At 53.3% G+C, this 15,640-nt stretch overlaps 1 protein-coding gene and 2 long non-coding RNA genes across 3 annotated transcripts in view; 2 read left to right on the forward strand and 1 right to left on the reverse strand.

Moving 5' to 3' along the window:
• LOC497256 (uncharacterized) overlaps window positions 1-15,640 on the reverse strand; it is a 71,588-nt gene that overhangs the window by 7,451 nt on the left and 48,497 nt on the right. The gene's annotated exons all lie outside the window — the stretch shown is intronic.
• LOC124902199 (uncharacterized) lies at window positions 978-3,717 on the forward strand. The gene is made up of 2 exons (XR_007061645.1): window positions 978-1,170; window positions 3,439-3,717. It is a non-coding gene; the product is annotated as an uncharacterized LOC124902199 (long non-coding RNA).
• On the forward strand, window positions 7,754-13,780 carry SPATA31E1 (SPATA31 subfamily E member 1). The gene is made up of 4 exons (NM_178828.5): window positions 7,754-8,077; window positions 8,869-8,923; window positions 9,468-9,528; window positions 9,790-13,780. Exons 1-4 carry the CDS (start codon window positions 7,769-7,771, stop codon window positions 13,700-13,702), a joined length of 4,338 nt encoding a protein of 1,445 aa, NP_849150.3. The 5' UTR covers window positions 7,754-7,768; the 3' UTR covers window positions 13,703-13,780.

Genomic DNA, 15,640 nt, shown 5'->3' on the forward strand with positions numbered 1-15,640 from the left:
GGATTTTAAGAGTTGTATGCCAGGAAACAGGGTCAAAGACCAAATACATATTTTACAATATCACAGTCTGTGTGTCCAGCAGCACCTGACACCATTCTCACTATGTTAATGCTTTCCATGAAACAGTGAATAGCTCTATCCATGTGAAAATTGAACACTAAGGCACATGCAGATGGGCAAAGACTACAGTGAATCAAATGAGTCATGTGCATAATTTAAGGGGAGTAAAAAAATTGCTAGTCAAGATAAATAATTTTTTAATGCAATATTTCCAAGAATACAAATTTAGGCAAAAACTCCATGATGAACTTCAAAATATCAAAATTTTAAACAAAGACAGATCAGCATGAATGTTGTACAGATCAGCATGAATGTTGTTCAAAACTTCTAACCACCAGAATGGCACAGTCTATAACCTCTAAGAATGGATGCTGTCTGCAGTGCTGGAGTTGGCCCAGAGGGCTTTAGCTGTCTGCAGAATAGGGAGGTATAGATGGTCCTAGAGAGGAGGCAGGGGCAGCCCAGGCAGAGAGGGGCATGCAGGGACTCTTTACCACAGCACATTGAACTGTGTTCACAGCTAATTCTAAACATATCTTCTAATTTTTGTGAAGAGGAAAGGGAGAGAAATTGGCAAATATCTATATAAGTAAGTGCCAATATTACATAAAAAGCAACAATAGCTAAGCCTAAGTCTTTACATTTCCAAATTTATATAAAATTTGAAAAACTTATATCTGAGTTCTGTTTTCCTGAGACCACAAATGCTCTTTTAAATAAACTGGTATAAGTAGGCAACAAAGTTAATTGAAAATGGAAAGAAAACTTTTATGAATTTAGATTGCTTTATAGCAGCTGGAAGGCTTAACACAACAGGAGGCCCTGGACCACCCAGGCAGGACCTGGACGGGAGGCGAGTGCATGGAGCATTTGCAGCAACACAGGGAACGATGAGGGAGGGGAGCCTGGGTTTTTAGTGTTCTTGGTGTTCTGTGTATCTCTGTGCCTGTCTCCACAAGGGGCATCCAGGGACCAACTTTGAGAACCTGCCCTTGTTCCCCTGGCTTTTGGGGAAACATCCTCCAGCCATCCCGGAGGATAGGGCAGGATGAAGTGCCAGCAGCAGCAGAGAAGAGACTGCATTAGGAGTAACTGCTCCCCCACCACCAGGTTAGAGCAAAAGCGGGCCCAGCTTCAAAGCCAGGATCTAAGGGGAGGAGGATGGCTACAGATAGGGTACTGCCTGATGATGAGGGGGTTGATAGGGTAACTATGGGGACCAGCCAGAGGAAGTGCTTTCCCTGACAAGGGCAGGTGCAAGTCCCCTGGCAGTGGCACAGAATGCTCTTATGAAGTCCTGGCTGAGCCCCTACTATCAGGGGCTCCTGGCAGCCCAGTGCCCAACACAGGTGTTTTTCTTGCCCTTCTACTCCATCCCCCCACCCTCCTACTGCTGGACTTGTAGGGATCAGAAGCCAAGGTCGGTGGGTGTGGCTGGTTAGAAGAGATCCAGGCCCCAGGTGTTAATCGGGGAGGCTTCAGTGACAGGTCTCTGGGAGAGATCCCATATGAGGTCTCTGTGTGTTCTGAGGTGAGTTCTGTGGGGAACTCTCTGGAAGTCTGTAGAGCTCTGGGCCAGGCTTCTGTGAGGAGGTCTATGGGTCTGTGCTCAGGTGGTGGTGTGGGAGGTCACTGTGTGAGCACCTGGTGACCATGTGTGGTCCCTGTGGGAGGTCACTGCCTGGTGTCTCTGTGCAAGGTGTCTGGGGAGGTCTCTGTGCAAGTTCTGTGAGGGAGGTCTCTCGTGTGAGGACTCCCTGTGTGGTCTCTGAGGGAGTCTGTGAGGTTTCTGGAGGGTCCAGGAGGCTGCGTGATGTCTTCCTAAGAGAGCTCTGGGAGATGCCTGGGTGGTGCTGAGAGACGCGCTCTCCGTGGGAGGTCTCTGCATGAAAGACCTTGTGCTCATCTCCAGGTCTCCTGGAAGTCCTTGGGGAGCTCTCAGTGCTAAGTCTCCGAGTTCCCTCTTGGTTTGAGTCTCAGTCAGAGGTCTCTCGATGTGAGTCTCTGTGGAGGCCTCTCTCACAGGTCTCTGTGTAGGTCTCTCAGGGTCTCTTTGGGATTCTCTGTGGAGGTGGCTGCATGGGTCTCTGGGAGATCTCTGTGGGGGTCTCTATAAGTCCCTAAGGGTCTCTCTCAAGTCTCTGTAGCACCTCTCTCAAAAGTCTCTACAGGTCTCTGGGAGTCACTGTGTGGATTTCTGTGGGGGAATCTCTGTATGGGTCTCTGGGGGTTCTCCATGTGGATCTCTGTGGAGATCTGTGTGGGGGTCACTAGTGGATCTCTGTGTGAGTTTCTGGGCATCTCTGTGTGGGTCTCTCCCGAAGGTCTCTGTGTGAATTTCTGTGGGGTCTCTGTGGAGGTTTTTGTGTGGGTCTCCATGGGGATCTCTGTGGAGGTCTCTGTGGGTCTCTGGGGCTCCCTGTGTGGGTCTCTGGGTATCTCTTTGGGGTCTCTGTGTAGGTCTTTGGAGGGATTGCTGTGGGGGTCTCTGTTGTGGGTCTCTCTCAAAGGTCTCCAACCCTAATAGGGCCTTGCCTGGAAAAGAAAATGCCTAGGTTCACAGAAACTCAAGGTTCTTTGATGCTGCTTGAACCTGAACAGACGTTTTATCCAAAATAGCTCCTGCTCTCCAGAGATCTGCCATATCATAAAAGAGTTAGACATAACAGTAGATGACTCTGCCACCAAGCCCATGCCACTAAGTGATTTAACAGAAGTTACAAAGGGAAATGGAATGATGCACTTGTGGAAATTTACTCTAGGGTTCTCTGAAATTCTCCACAAGGACGTTTTTAGGGAACTAAACTTTGAATCAAGGTGCTGAATGTATGTGTTCCTCCTAAATTGTTGTATTGAAATCCTAACCCCCAAGGTGATGGTATTAGAAGATGCGGCCTTTGGGAAGTGATTAGGGCATGAGGGTGGAGTCCACACGAACGGGATTAGTGCCCTTCTGAAAGAAGCCCAAGGGAGCTCAGTTGTTTCTTCTTCAACACAAGGACACAGAGAAAAGTCAGTCATGTATGAACCAGAAAGCAGACCCCCACCAGACACCAAATCTGCTGGTGTCTCCATCCTGGACCTCTCGGTCTCCACATGTGAGAAATACATTTCTGTTGTTTATAAGTCACCCTGTTGAATCCATCCCTACAAACGTTATAAAATTAATTAGGGAGGAGGGGAGAGGGAGAAATGAAAATAAGCTAAGCTTGCAGCACGTTCAGCGTAAACCATGAGGGCAGCTGCTCTCTGACCCCTTTCCTCATAGTTGTTCGTGCCAATTGCCTCCGAGTCACAGAGACCTCGTCAAAAGATTACAGTCCCCATCACTGCTCTATAGGCAGCAACTTGAACATTATAAAATGTTATGTTTTCCAGGTGAGGGACTCTGTTGGGTCCTGCATACGAATGGAACCACTGATGCCAGCTGGTCTGAAGGACCCCACAGGAGCTGACTCACCGAAGAACACAGCTTGTACACCCTGATGGTTTCATCCTCCTTATCCTGACCAATCAACAACCTCAATCTTCTATCCCTCACCCTCCACAATCTCCTTAAAAACCCCAGCTCAGAACTCCTCCGGAAGATGGGTTTGGGGGTCTCCACTCATCCCTTGCTCCATCCCTGTGATCATTAAACTCTTTCTCTGCTACAAATCTTGCTGTCTTGGTGTTACTGCTCTGTTATTGTACAGCGGGCATATGCATCCGTTGGTCCTGTAACACCATTTATGGTGCTTTGTTATAGCAGTCTGTATGGACTAAGACACATAGTTGAGAGGTTCTGTAGAACTATGGGGAAGAGGCAGGAGAAATTTGATTGAAACTGCAAAGAGTTGATATGCATGGCCTCTTCAGAAATGGTAAGTGCACAATGTGTTTTGGTGAAAAGTAATGCAGTAGGAACTTGCCAGTAAGAATGATTCATCAAAATGCAGAGCTACAGTTTGACTCATGCCTAACAGTAATTCTATTTTCCAGACATGCTAGTGATGCCCCTTTGTGCTTCAGACCCTACAGTTATACATTATTTATGCCAAGCTTCAGCTTTTATTATTTAAGTATTCGAAGATTTGCATTTTAAAGGTACTTAGCACTGTACTTGATCCTTCATAAGTGCTGCATAAGTAAATATAAAGTGAATAAATAACTTCCCACTGTAACCACCAGTTTCCTTGCTATGCTCCTGTTTCTTAGTTCCACCTAAGCCACTTGCTATTTGGCAATACAGTAGCCTTGAGTTTGAGTTATAGCTCCAATAAAAGATCTTTGTTCAACTAATTAAGGATGCATTTGTTTGATTTTGGTGATTACTGAGTTAACTATGCAGCAAATTCTTCTGTGATAGAAAATATGTATAAATTGGAAATAAATTTACTCTGTCCACCAGACTGGAGTGAGGTGGCACAATCTTGGCTCACTGCACCCTCCGCCTCCCAGGCTCAAGCAATTCTCCTGCCTCAGCCTCCAGAGTAGCTGGGATTACAGGCGCCTACCACCACGCCTGGCTAATTTTTGTATTTTTAGTAGAGACAGGGTTTCACTATGTTGGCCAGGCTGGTCTCAAACTCCTGACCTCAGGTGATCCACCCACCTCAACCTCCCAGAGTGCTAGGATTACAGGCGTGAGCCACTGCGCCCAGTCAACAAGAACAATTTATCCAAGAACTCTGTTGGTATAACTAAGATTATCTTTTTTATCATATAAAAAATTGTCTTCCTATAATCCGTATGTATAATTGCATAATAACTATAAAATTTGGATGCCTAAGCATTTATGTGTACCAAAGGGTTCATAGAATCAATAATCTGTACTGTTTCCACTGTTCTTCAAGTAGATTTCTAGATTAACTATGAAGTCCAAAGGAAGACTGTCAGCAGGATGATCATTTTTTCTTGCCCACCAGATGCACACTCGCAGCACTCCCCTGCCAGCCCGTATTCCCCCATCCGTTTTCCTCATGCGGAAATTAGGGAAGCAGGAGCGCACAGGGGTCCACAAAGGCTGACAATGAAAACACACTGAAATGTACCTCAAGGTCTCTACTGAGACATTCAGACATTGACTATGATAAGGCTGTGCAGCTGAGGTGCACGAATTTCACGTGTATGCAACATGAGAGATATTTGCAGGAAGTTAAGCTTCACGATGGGAAATGCCTGTGTGGGTGTATTTGTTTGTTTTAAATACTTAAGGATGATCAGAGACTATGGGGGGAAAAGCTGTTCTTCCTAAGAGAAATTCACTCTCATTTTCTAAGGAATTCTTCCCCTTTCCTCTGCTTCCCTGCAGGAAACGTGGAGTGAGACCAAAGCTGTGACTCCAGTCCACACCAGAGCCCAGGAAGACTCCCAGGACCCTGGAGATGCCTGAGGACCAGGGGCTTGTGGTATGCGGGAAGGAGGGTTCTACAGTCACCATGAGGAACAGCAATTGGCTGTAGTAAAATACGGACTGACAAAGGCAGGAAGGCAAAAGGCACCCAGGTTCGCCCAGGTGAGATGAGAGGCCCAGTTCTTCCGAGGTAGGTGTGGTGTCCCTCAAAAGCCCCCAGGGTTCTGTTGTGGGCACCACAGTGTCTGGAAGTGTGTGTGGTTGGCGGGGCGGGGGGGGGGTTTGTCAAGGAAGGGCCTTGAGGCTCATTTCCCCTGCAGCAGCAGGAGCAAGGGGCTGGCACTGGGAAGCCTCGCCCTCGTTGCAGCAGGCAGGTGGGTGGATGGTTGGATGAACAGCATAACCCTGCAGTGAAGTCTGTGGAGGGAACAGAGGTGCATGGATGGAGACATGCACACAGCCCACCAGAGACTGGGAACCCCCACACCCACATGGTCCTCTCATTTATCCAGAAAGGCGAACATCAGGTTTGAGGAGGAATGGAACCTAAAACAAATCTTTTCCCTAAATGTGGAGCTGATGCGACCAGTTGTCTCTGCTCTCCAGTTCCTGTTTCTCACACAGAGCGCACCTACTGACCTGGCAGTGGCTTGTTGGGAGGCGATTCCTTGCATGCCCAAGCCCAATTGCATAGGTCAAGATGAGACCCACTTCTCAGGCTTCAGTTCCCTGCAAATGAAGTAGAACTTAGGACCCCCATACTTCCCAGTGATCCTAGCAGGCGTCACTGGGGTCTCCACTCTTGCCAGTTAACCCAGTTGACCACATTAGGGACTGTCATGCCTCCCCAGTGACAATCTCATAAAGGAGGAAGAGACTGTAGACAGATAAAAGCAGCAGTAGATGAAGCAGATATGCTCTTGAAGATGCATGTTCATGAGAACAGACCCAAATAGACTCAGATGGTCTCACTCCCATTGAGGCTATATAGAACGCATGACAAAGATATACATGATTTTCAAGGCCACTTTTCAAGTATTAAATAAATGTATCACATAGTGATTAAAAAGTGCAATCTCTAATCCTGAGTTTCTGCTGCCCAAAAGATGTCTAATAGTATAATGAGAACATTTCCTCCAGGGCTCAAAGTATGCTCCCTATCAGGTACAGGCCAGACATGAGGCCCCAGTGGTCTGGAGCAGGCAGGAGGTGAAAAACAGGACACACTGTGGAGCAGAGAATACAAATGGGAGGCCGAGGCGGGCGGATCACAAGCTCAGGAGTTCAGGACCAGCCTGGCCACTATGGTGAAACCTGGTCTCTACTAAAGATACAAAAATTAGCTGGGCATGGTGGCACACTTCTGTAGTCCCAGCTACTTGGGAGGCTGAGGCAGGAGAATCGCTTGAACCCAGGAGGCAGAGGTTGCAGTGAGCCGAGATCATGCCACTGCACTCCAGCCTGGGCAACAGAGTGAGACTCCGTTTCAAAAAAAAAAAAAAAAAGAATATGTACGGAGGACACGAGTGATCTCAGAAGAGTCTGCTGAACACTGGACTTGAGCCTGGCACGGAATGCCCAGTCCCGCTCTCCACCCAAAGGAGCTGGACCTCAGATCACCCCAAACCACTCCTGGCTCATGGTGGAGCACACATGTTCCAAAACTTAGGAAAGTGAGGACTGTATTTGGGGCAGAGAAAGAAAAAATGGATCAGGACAACATATGAAAGATCTAAAGAAAATAAGTAAAGGCTTAATTATTGTTTTGAAAATAATTTGTCAAAGTGTTTGAGGTTTTTTTACAGCAAGCTCCATAATTCGGTAACTCAAAATTATGTTCCTAATATAAAAATGTCATTTGGAGGTTTAATTATTTGTAATTTTTATACTTTTTAGTTTTGTAAATTTAAGAGTTCTATTCTGGGTTGATGAAAGTAGAAAATGTAAGGTGTGGGAAAATTACAAAAACAGAGGAGATTCTGAAATAATCCTTAAGAAACCACCTAAATTCCTAGGAGAATTTCACAGTTTCAAAGGCTATGAAATGGGTGGGCTCAGGCCTAGATCTCCAAGGTACAAGGAGAGCCAGGTGACACCTGTGTTCCAGGGGAAGAGAATAGAAAATGGACTGAGGACTGTCTCTGACAGGGTGAGCAGCTGGAGTGGGAAGGAGCGATTTGGGGGACCCAGGAGGGTGGAGGGACTGGGGGCTGGGAGCTGAGGGCGGGGCTGTGCTTCAGCCTCCTCCTCCCACTGCCCCTCCCCCACCCCCAGGAGCCCTTTGTGAGGAGGAGGCCCCAGCTGTGTGATACAAGCCTGGGCCCCAGTCCCTAGTCCCAAAGGGGATGCCCAGAGCTCAGTTGCTTGAAGGCGATGGGAAATCTCGTCATCCCTCTAGGGAAGGGCAGGGCAGGCAGGGTTGAGAGTGGGCAGAGGATTCCACCCCCAGCTCCCAGACCATCTGTGGAGTGCACAGGAGACGACATTGCACTTCAGATGGAGAAAATGCTCTTTCCTCTGAAGAGCCCTAGTGCCACATGGCTGAGCCCTAGCTCCACTCCCTGGATGATGGATTTCATCCTCACCAGTGTGTGTGGCCTAGTGCTCCTCTTCCTATTGCTCCTCTACGTCCACAGTGACCCACCCTCACCCCCGCCCGGGAGGAAGAGGAGCAGCAGGGAGGTAAGGAGTCCTCAGCCCAGCCCCACAGAGAAAGATTCTCTCTTCTTTTCCTCCCCTCATTTCCACTTTTCCTAAGCAATGTGAGACCCTTCTGTGATGGGAAATCTCGTCATCCCTCTAGGGAAGGGCAAGGCAGGCAGGGGTGAGAGTGGGCAGAGGATTCCATCCCGAGCTCATCTGTGGGGTGCACAGGAGGCGTCAGGGCAAAAACCAACACTGGACTCAGTGGCAAGGACCGGGTCAGGAGAGGGGTGAGGTCTCTGTGGGAGGAGAGGCCCCAGCCCTGGCTCATCACCCCCTTCCTGGGGCAGGTGCCTGGGGGCCCAGCCTCCTCTGTATGATCTGGGTGTGATCTGGGAGCTGTGCTGAGCTCCTGAGAGCCTCCCAGTAGAGCCTGGATTCGCCTGTGGCTGCACCCCGGCCACATGTGCTTTTTCCTCCTTCACCACAGCCCCATGGTACCCTGGCCTCCTCTCCATTCTCATCCAAAGCAGAATCCTACTGGCAGCTCAGAGGCGCCTGTGGGCCTGAGCCTAGGTGTTCCTTGAGCGGAGGAGCAGGGACTGGGGACAGCCAGGTTGGAGTCACACAGACAACCCTTCCTTGCATTTCCCTAAGAAGGAAAACAGAAAACATTTCATTCACGGTAAACATGAGTAAAAAGCACACACAGAGCTCCCTGAGCTAGAGGCTGAGAGCCGTGTCCCTCATGAGCACTGCGTGTGTGCAGCTGGTCTGGGGAGAGGAGACTGAGAACTGGTCCCAGCCCCTCATCCTTTCTTGCCTCTCAGCCTCAAAGGGAGAGAAGCGGGAGGTCCAGGAGCAGGAAGATCTCAGCTCTGAAAGGTGAGGCTCTGCTGCCCCCCGGGACTCCCCAGAGGTAACTGAGCTTTGCCTGTCCCTGAGGAAGTCATTTGCAGAGGCCTGAGAGGGAAGCTCCTGGGAGAGAAATCAGAACCTGCGGCCTCCTCAGATTCCCTGCGGGAATGAAGCCACGGGCCTGGGACCGGTATTGCCCATAAGGGGGCGGTGTGGGGAAGGGACCAAGGCCTGCCTGGATATGGGGGGAGGTCAGGGAGGCTCCAGGTCCATGTGGACAGCTGTTCACCTCAGCAATGGCTGACTCCTCTTTGAGACCACCCATTTGCTCTCCCAACAAGATGGTTGTGACACCGATGAGGGGGTGGACGTGGAAGCACTTTTTGCAAATGACAAAGTGCTGCACAGTGGAAACCTTCCTGTCACCATTGGGGCCATGTGGCCTCGGACACAGATGCGAGGGCTTCAGGGTCTAGTCCCCCATGGTGTCCCCTAAAAAGACATCCACTCAGCCTCCATGAGGTTCCCAGGCACCGCCCTCTCCACCATAACCCTGTCTCCTGATTTCCAGCTTGCAGAATCCTCCTGAGGGAGCTGGAGGAGACTCGGGACCTGAACTACCTTCTGGAAAGGTGAGGAGCTTCCCCCTTCTGTCCCTGTCCTCCTTCCTACCAGGGCCTCTGATGCAACCCTACGGCCTGGTGGTGATCTGGGAGGGGGAGGTCCCGGGAAGGGGACAGGAGGGGACTGAAGCCCTGGGGCAGGCTTAGGCAGAGCTTTATGAAGTCAGCAGTTGGGGAGGTGGAGGAACCGGGGGCCCCAGGTGCCCACCCGTCCCAGCTTCCCGGCCCCATCTACCCCTGGCTGCAGCTTGTGCCTCTTGTCTCCTGCAGCCACCTGAGGAAGCTCGCTGGCGAAGGCAGCTCCCACCTGCCCTTAGGTGGAGACCCCCTGGGGGACGTGTGTAAACCAGTGCCTGCTAAGGCCCACCAGCCGCATGGGAAATGCATGCAAGATCCGTCTCCTGCCAGCTTGTCCCCACCAGCTCCCCCAGCTCCTCTGGCCTCCACCCTGTCACCAGGCCCGATGACCTTCTCAGAGCCTTTTGGACCACACTCAACCCTGAGTGCCTCCGGGCCACCAGAGCCCTTGCTTCCCCTAAAATGCCCTGCAACCCAGCCACATGTGGTTTTTCCTCCTTCACCACAGCCGCATGGTCCCCTGGCCTCCTCTCCACCTCCACCCGACTCCAGCCTGGCTGGACTTCAGTGTGGCTCCACAACATGCCCCGTCCCCCAGAGCTCCCCTCTACACAACCAGGTGCTGCCTCCTCCAACCAGGGTGATCTCTGGCCTGGGGTGCTCCAGCGATCCCATCTGGGACCTCTATTGCTGGAGGGAGGCTGCCACCACCTGGGGCCTCTCCACCTACTCACATGGCAAATCCCAGCCACGGCATCTTCCCGACCACACCTCAGAGGCTTCCTTCTGGGGAGACCCCACACCCAAGCACATGGAGGTAGGTGGCTGCACATTCATCCACCCTGACGTGCAGAAGCTGCTGGAGACCCTCATCGCCAAGAGAGCACTGATGAAGATGTGGCAGGAGAAAGAAAGAAAACGGGCCGACCACCCGCACATGACATCACTGGGGAAGGAGTGGGACATCACGACCCTAAATCCCTTCTGGAACGTGTCAACCCAGCCACAGCAGCTGCCCCGTCCTCAGCAAGTCTCTGATGCCACAACCGTGGGGAACCACTTACAGCAGAAACGCAGCCAGCTTTTCTGGGACCTCCCCTCTCTCAATAGCGAGTCCCTGGCGACCACAGTCTGGGTTTCTAGGAACCCTTCCTCACAGAATGCACACTCTGTACCACTGGATAAAGCCTCCACTTCTCTTCCAGGTGAACCTGAGGTTGAGGCATCCTCACAGCTTTCCCAGGCACCGCCCCAGCCCCACCACATGGCCCAGCCCCAACATTTCACTCCAGCCTGGCCCCAGTCCCAGCCCCCACCTTTGGCTGAGATCCAGACCCAGGCCCACCTCTCACCCCCTGTCCCAAGCCTGGGGTGCTCTTCTCCACCCCAGATTAGGGGCTGTGGGGCATCTTACCCTACATCCCAGGAGAGGACACAGTCTGTCATCCCCACTGGAAAGGAGTATCTTGAATGGCCCTTGAAGAAGCGACCAAAGTGGAAGAGGGTTTTGCCCTCTCTCCTCAAAAAGTCTCAGGCTGTTCTGAGCCAGCCCACTGCCCACCTTCCCCAAGAGAGGCCGGCCTCCTGGAGCCCCAAGTCAGCCCCCATCCTTCCCGGGGTTGTCACCAGCCCTGAGCTCCCAGAGCACTGGTGGCAAGGAAGGAATGCCATCCACCAGGAGCAGTCCTGTGGCCCTCCCAGCAGATTGCAGGCATCTGGGGACCTGCTACAGCCTGATGGGGAATTCCCAGGGAGGCCCCAGAGTCAGGCAGAAGACACGCAGCAGGCCCTCTTGCCCTCCCAGCCTTCTGACTTTGCAGGGAAGGGCAGGAAGGATGTGCAGAAGACCGGGTTCAGGAGCTCCGGAAGGTTCTCTGACAAGGGGTGCTTAGGGTCCAAACTAGGGCCGGACCCAAGCCGGGATCAAGGCTCAGGAAGGACCTCAGTGAAGGCTCTGGACGAAGACAAGGAGGCAGAAGGTGACTTACGGAGGTCCTGGAAGTACCAATCAGTAAGTTCCACACCCAGGGACCCAGACAAGGAGCATCTGGAAAACAAGCTGCAAATCCATCTGGCCAGGAAGGTAGGGGAGATCAAAGAGGGCTGGATCCCCATGCCTGTGCGTCGCTCCTGGCTCATGGCCAAATGTGCTGTTCCCAAGTCTGACACCCACAGGAAACCTGGGAAGCTGGCATCCTGGAGGGGTGGGAAAGCCCACGTGAACACCTCCCAGGAGCTTTCCTTCCTCCATCCCTGCACCCAGCAGATACTGGAAGTACATCTTGTAAGGTTCTGTGTGAGGCACAGCTGGGGTACAGACCTCCAGTCCCTGGAGCCCATAAATGTCTGGTCAGGTGAGGCTCAGGCCCCGCCCTTCCCACAATCCACCTTTACCCCCTGGGCCTCCTGGGTATCTCGGGTTGAATCTGTACCCAAGGTTCCCATTTTCCTGGGAAAACGTCCTCAGAATGGTCCAGGAGACAACAGAACAACAAGCAAGTCAGTCCCGACCGTGAGTGGCCCTCTCGCTGCCCCACCGCCTGAGCAGGAGGGAGTCCAGAGGCCCCCGAGAGGGTCCCAGTCAGCTGATACCCATGGGCGATCAGAGGCCTTTCCGACTGGACACAAGGGCAGGGGGTGTTCTCAGCCCCCAACATGCAGCCTTGTGGGCAGAACCTGGCAGAGCAGGACTGTCCTGGAATCCGGGAAACCCAAACCCAGACTAGAGGGGAGTATGGGTTCAGAAATGGCTGGGAACGAGGCATGGCTTGAGAGTGAGAGCATGTCCCCAGGAGACCCCTGTAGTAGCAGAGCCCTGCAAGTGCTCAGCATAGGGTCCCAGTGGGCAAGGGCTGAAGATGCCCTGCAGGCACTGAAAGTGGGGGAGAAGCCCCCAACTTGGGAAGTCACCTTGGGAGCCAGTGTGAGGGCAAGTTCGGGAAGTGTTCAGGAGGATCTGAGGAGCACAGGGGCTCTGGGGACCACTGGTAACCCCTCAGCGTCTTCAGTCTGTGTTGCTCAGGATCCAGAGCAGCTGCACCTGAAAGCGCAGGTGGTCAGTGAGATTGCGCTCATAGTGCAGGTGGACTCAGAGGAGCAGCTGCCAGGCCGTGCCCCGGGCATCCTCCTCCAGGACGGCGCCACAGGCCTGTGCCTTCCAGGCCGCCACATGGACATGCTCACTGCCGCAGACAGGCTGCCCACTCAAGCCCCTCTGTCCACCTCCCAGAGTGTGTCTGGTAAGAACATGACAGCTTCCCAGGGGCCATGTGCCCTCCTATGGAAGGGAGGGGACAGTCCAGGGCAGCAGGAGCCTGGGAGCCCAAAAGCAAAGGCCCCACAGAAGAGTCAGAAGACGCTGGGCTGTGCGGACAAGGGCGAGGCCCACAGGAGGCCCAGAACAGGGGAGCAGGGACACAGGTCCAAGGGACCCAGGACCTCTGAAGCCAGTGGGAGGAGCCACCCTGCCCAAGCCAGGGAAATAGGAGACAAACAAGAAAGGAAATACAACCAGCTTCAGCTGGAGAAGGGACAGACACCACCAGAAAGCCACTTCCAGAGAAAGATCAGTCACCATCCACAGGGTCTACACCCCAGGAAAGGAGGCACACGGTGGGAAGATGTCCTGCAGAAAGGCAAGCCTGGGGCAGATGCTTTCCAGAGCTGGGGGTCTGGCCCACCAAGGCAGTTTATGGACTGCATGGCTGACAAAGCCTGGACCATCAGCAGAGTTGTGGGACAAATCCTGGTGGACAAACTGGGGCTTCAGTGGGGACGAGGTCCCTCAGAGGTCAATCGCCACAAAGGTGACTTCCGCGCCCAGGAGAATGTGCCTTCCTGCTGCCACAGGGGTCACTGCCACCAAGAACGTAGCAGAGAGATGAGAGCTCTGGCCTGCAGCCCTAAAGCCACCCCCAAGGGCCACCACTGTCCTGTCAAAAACAGGGGCATCAGAGACAGAGACAGCAGTTGGGCCCCACCTCCCAGGGAGCCTGTGTCCCCAGCTGGTCCCCACCACCACAGGCCAAGAATGGCAAGCACCTCGGGCGGCCCCCATCCACAGCTGCAGGAACTGATGTCTGCACAGAGGTGTCTTGCCTCCTGAACTAGACCAGTCTTCTTGCATGTCTCCTGGGGGAGACAGGGGGTTCTACTCAAATAAAACTGATGCCTACACAATAAACCTGTCCTGCGTGGGTGATCACAGCCGCCATGTGTTCATGACGTTCACGGAGAAGTTCCCAATATACCTGCTTTCCCTGCAGAGGGCGTGGCTTCTGTCTGTGCCATGCTAGGGGGCAGGAAAGGGCACAGCATCTGCCCCTTCTGAGTGCGGCTTCCAGAATGGCTGGGCCTGGAGAAGGCTGGCAGGGACGTGGAGGACCCCCTCTTCTCCCTGTCCAGGGAGAAACCATGTCTGGTTTCCAAACTGTATCATGACCCAGAGCCTTCAGGACGTGTAAGGACAGCAAACCCTATGGAGACCCCACCCGGGCTCTGGCTCACTGCATCTTCGTTCTCACTAAGGTAACTTCTGTGCTGCTGTCGGAGCTGGGTCTGCAAGGGCCTTATGGACTGAGAGGGTGGCAGGCTCCCCTCAGGCTGGAGGAGTGATGGATCCCAGCAGCCTCCCTGCCCCGTGGTAGCCTGGGAATGTGGGGGTGTCCTGTACTGGCCCTGGGTGAGAGAAGGGACAGCTCCTTCTCAGATGTCCTGGTGGGGAAGAAATGACACCCTCCCCAGACCCCTCCCTACCTGCTGAGTTCTGGGATGGACCTGGGCCCCACCAGCACTTGGTTCAGCCTTGTTAACACCCCTGGGTTTGCGTCTGGTGTCCCCTGCCTCACTCTCCAGAGCAGTCTCCCAGCCCACTAGTGTGGGGTGTCTGTTTCAGGAGGCACCCAGGGCTGCTGCCTGCCCCTCTGGTGGGACTCTGTGGTTAGGAACCGCAGGAGGAGACCTTAGGCCCAGGGTGAGAGGTCGTGAGAAGAATCAGGGAAGACGAACGTAAGTTCGCAAGTGCAGGACCCACAAGCTGCCCACAGCTGTAACCAGGGTCCTCATAGTCTGGTGACCATGACAAGCAAAGGTGGTCAGTGCCACTCCCAGGGGAGAGGGACCCAGAAGGCAAGGGCTGGCCTGGTTACACAGCACATCTATGGCTCCAAGCCCAGGTGCTGGCAGGGGACACATTGGGGCTCAGAGGATCTGGTCACATGGTTGGCAGGGACAGTCCCCGCAGGGCACAGTCCTGGGCTCCTCCGTCCTGGTGCTGGGTCCCTCCTGTCCATCCCCAAGGAAGGCAGGAGCAAATGCAGGAGCTGGTTCCCCAGAGGGCTCTGCCCAGGGGCCTTCTGCCCAGGGAGAGCTCTGCACCTGCAGGGGCTGTGGAGGCTGAGGACAAGGGGACAGGCCTGTACCCAGGCGTGGCGGGACCCATGCTGGGGACCTGTTTGGAAAAGGCCCTGGTGTCACTTTGGGTGCCCAGGCTACTGCTGGAGCCAAGTCCTGTCTGGGGTGGTGACCTGGGCAGCTCCAGTGTGGGCCCAACATCTATGGGACCCAGGATCCTGGAACCCGCCAGCAGAGGAGCCCCACAGAGACCCCCATGTACACCCCCAAACTCAAAGATTCCCACAGAGACCCCACATTCATAGAGATTTCAGAGATTCCCCACAGTGACCCCCAGAGACCCCAACAGAGAATCTGACCGAGATCCCCCCATGAAGACCCCCCAGAAGGACTCCCCACAGAAACCCCTGACACAGACTCACACAGAGACCCTTCAAAACCAACAGAGATCCCCACGGAGATTTTAGAGGTGACTCTAACAGAGACCTGCACAGAGAAAATATATCAAGGTCACTTTGCCACCCCCTAAAATCCCTAGCATTGCACTTGGTGAAAATGAGCGGCATCTACCTCATTCCCAGCAGCGCTTTCTCCTGGCAGCCCTCTGCCCTCTTCTAGGTAAGATTCCTTGAGAAACTGAACAATAGAAAAGCCTCCTCTATCAGTCGACATCCAACTTAGAGCGACCCCC

The sequence above is a fragment of the Homo sapiens genome, chromosome 9 (genome assembly GCF_000001405.40).
Source record: "Homo sapiens chromosome 9, GRCh38.p14 Primary Assembly".
Classification (NCBI taxonomy): Eukaryota; Metazoa; Chordata; class Mammalia; order Primates; family Hominidae; genus Homo; species Homo sapiens.

Excerpts from the sequence above, each read along its gene's own strand:
- SPATA31E1 (NM_178828.5), top strand. The coding sequence starts at position 7,769 with ATGGGAAATCTCGTCATCCCTCTAGGGAAGGGCAGGGCAGGCAGGGTT. Across the intron at positions 8,078-8,868 it reads GGAAGAGGAGCAGCAGGGAG|CCTCAAAGGGAGAGAAGCGG; the intron begins GTAAGGAGTCCT and ends CTTGCCTCTCAG. Across the intron at positions 9,529-9,789 it reads CTGAACTACCTTCTGGAAAG|CCACCTGAGGAAGCTCGCTG; the intron begins GTGAGGAGCTTC and ends TGTCTCCTGCAG.